This window comes from Homo sapiens, chromosome X (genome assembly GCF_000001405.40).
Source record: "Homo sapiens chromosome X, GRCh38.p14 Primary Assembly".
Lineage (NCBI taxonomy): Eukaryota > Metazoa > Chordata > Mammalia > Primates > Hominidae > Homo > Homo sapiens.
In genome coordinates, this window is record NC_000023.11 from 119,040,152 (window position 1) to 119,042,543 (window position 2,392).

The window sequence follows — 2,392 nt, forward strand, 5'->3', positions numbered from 1 at the left end:
GGAGGGCCTTCACCTGGGGTGAGAGACAAGGCGTGTGCATGTTGTGCCTATGTTTTCAGGATGGGAAGTGGTGGGGAAGTGCATTAAAGAATGAAAAAAACAAAACCTAAGAAAACAGAAAGCTTAACAGAAACATGTTGTTCCTATGTTTTCAGGATGGGAAGCGGTGGGGGAATGCATTAAAGAAGGAAAAAAAACCCACAAAACCTGAGAAAACAGAAAGCTTAAGGTTTGAGTTAGAAGTCTGGCACTACCCAGACTAGACGATCCCTGCTGCTCCTGCTAATCTGGTAAGAGTGGGCAGGCCTCTTTTTGATGGGGGAGAAGGGTCGGCGGGGAGGCCTATTGTTATTCCCCTATAACCGGCTGGACTTGGGAGTAAAGCGATATGTGGACAAGAAAACAGGAAGACCAGGATGGGCATGCTGGCAGTTACAAAAAACCTAGGCTTGGGAACCTGAAGGTTTGCCAACATTAGGAAGGCTGAGCTATCCGAGAGACACATTCCTTTCAGTCCTCATTCTTCCCTATCCTGCAACCTATTCCAACCACTGTAAGTTCCCATTATGCCTACAAGTGGCAGATAAAAAACTGGTACTTAATACAGAGACTGCTGGAAATGAATACCCACCATTAGGCTCTTTTATCTCAGCAACACCTCTGCAAACCGGATGCAAATAGATTAATCAACCCAGTTTCATTTAATGTGGGAATTGCAGAGCATCATACAAGGCAACTGTTTTCTTTTGCATCTGCTGAAGAGCACGAGGGTTGATTTAGAAAAAAATTGTTTCCAGCCTGGGTCACACATTGAAGGAGAGAGAGATGGATTCTCTTTTCTCAGCATCCTGTGGGAGGAAAGCCTGTCGCCTGATCCACATCAGTCCTATCATAGGGGTCAGGGTCCCCATTCTCACCAATCATGCAAATGCCAAAAGACCAGTCTGGGATGCTGCCCAACTTCTTGACCCTGAAAATTGCTTTCTTGTCAACATCATTGCTGTCTCAGAACGCACCTCTGACCTCCCCAATCCCCAAACAGCACACCCAGGTGGCTTATTCGTTACCTTTGATCACATTTGTCTGAGAGAAGGTAGGAGTGCAGGACTGAAGAATGTGTAACTCTGGGGGAGTAGTGGTGAGAGAGGTCAGTTGGGGATAACAACCAGAGCTACAGCACTCATGCGTTGGCTCTAATACTGAAGTCCAGGGTCATTTCCAGCTTGCTGAGTGACCTTCAGTCCTCTATGAGTCACAGCTGCAGCTGAGTCATAGGCAGTGGGAGACAAGCTATGTTTTCCGCTTCTAGGCCTTCTTCCTCATCCCCTCCCATACTCTTCCCAGCTGATTGAGGAAGGAGCTGTGTCTTCTATTATTATTATGACATTTGATGGCTTCGGAGTCATACAGATTTGTCATTTACCACCTGTAGATTACATCCTCTGTCTGAGGTTTAATTTCCTCATCTACAATGAGGAGATAAAATGGTGCTTTATAATATGTCACAGGATTATCGTGAAGTTTAAAGAAGATAAATCATGTAAAAAATGTCTCAAAGTCCCTGTCACACAGTAAGTGCTCGAAGAGTGTGAATCATTATTAAATTACTCCCCCAAATCATTTTGGAAGTTAAATTAGTTGATGAAATCTAATCTTGGAGTCACTGCTATATAGAGGTAAATAGAAGGTTATCTCCACTGTAAATCACTAAATTGGCCATGTGTGTTTAAAATCCATTTATTATGAGTTTGATTAGTGATAATTATCTCCCCAGAACCTCATCACCCTGGAAGAGGAGGCAGTGATCTAATCTAATTTCTGCATCCTAAAAGCTGAGGATCAACCCTCAGCACATGTTGACCCAATCGAAGGCCACATATCCCAAAAAGCTAGGCATGAAACAACACATGGGCTTCTCTCTGAGCTTCCCTAATGCTTGGTAAGGAGTGTATAAATGCATTAACTACCTTCTACCATGAATGTAGTGACTATCTTCTATTAACTACCTTGTTAGACTTCTGTTAGGGTCTATCCCAGGGTTCTCTGTGTTCATACTAACGGAATGATTTGTGCAGCCCATATAGAAGATGATGTCATTGTTCATCACTGTCAGTATAACTTGACCTTTGACCACTTGGGTGCTCCCTGGGTTCTTCTGCACACTTGACCTTTTAGGCATCCCTTGGATGCCCTAACATCATACTCAGCTCTCAATGGAACTGACCAGCTCTCAAATTGAAGGCTATTTTGCGAGGTTCGTTCTCTGGAAACAGCACATTAATCAATATATTCTTTTTTTAGACAGAGTCTCGCTCTATCGCCAAGGGTGGAGTGCAGTGGCACAATCTTGGCTCACTCCAACCTCTGCCTCCCAGGTTGAAGCGATTCTCCT

At 44.0% G+C, this 2,392-nt stretch overlaps 1 annotated feature.

The window, feature by feature from the left end:
• Positions 479–1,678: an enhancer, noted in NCBI's record as "CDK7 strongly-dependent group 2 enhancer chrX:118174593-118175792 (GRCh37/hg19 assembly coordinates)". NCBI's record gives its function as "activates an origin of replication core promoter dependent on BRD2, BRD4, P300/CBP, MED14 and CDK7 cofactors, with strong dependence on CDK7, by STARR-seq in HCT116 cells {active_cell/tissue: HCT116}" and the evidence as "EXISTENCE:reporter gene assay evidence [ECO:0000049][PMID:35650434]".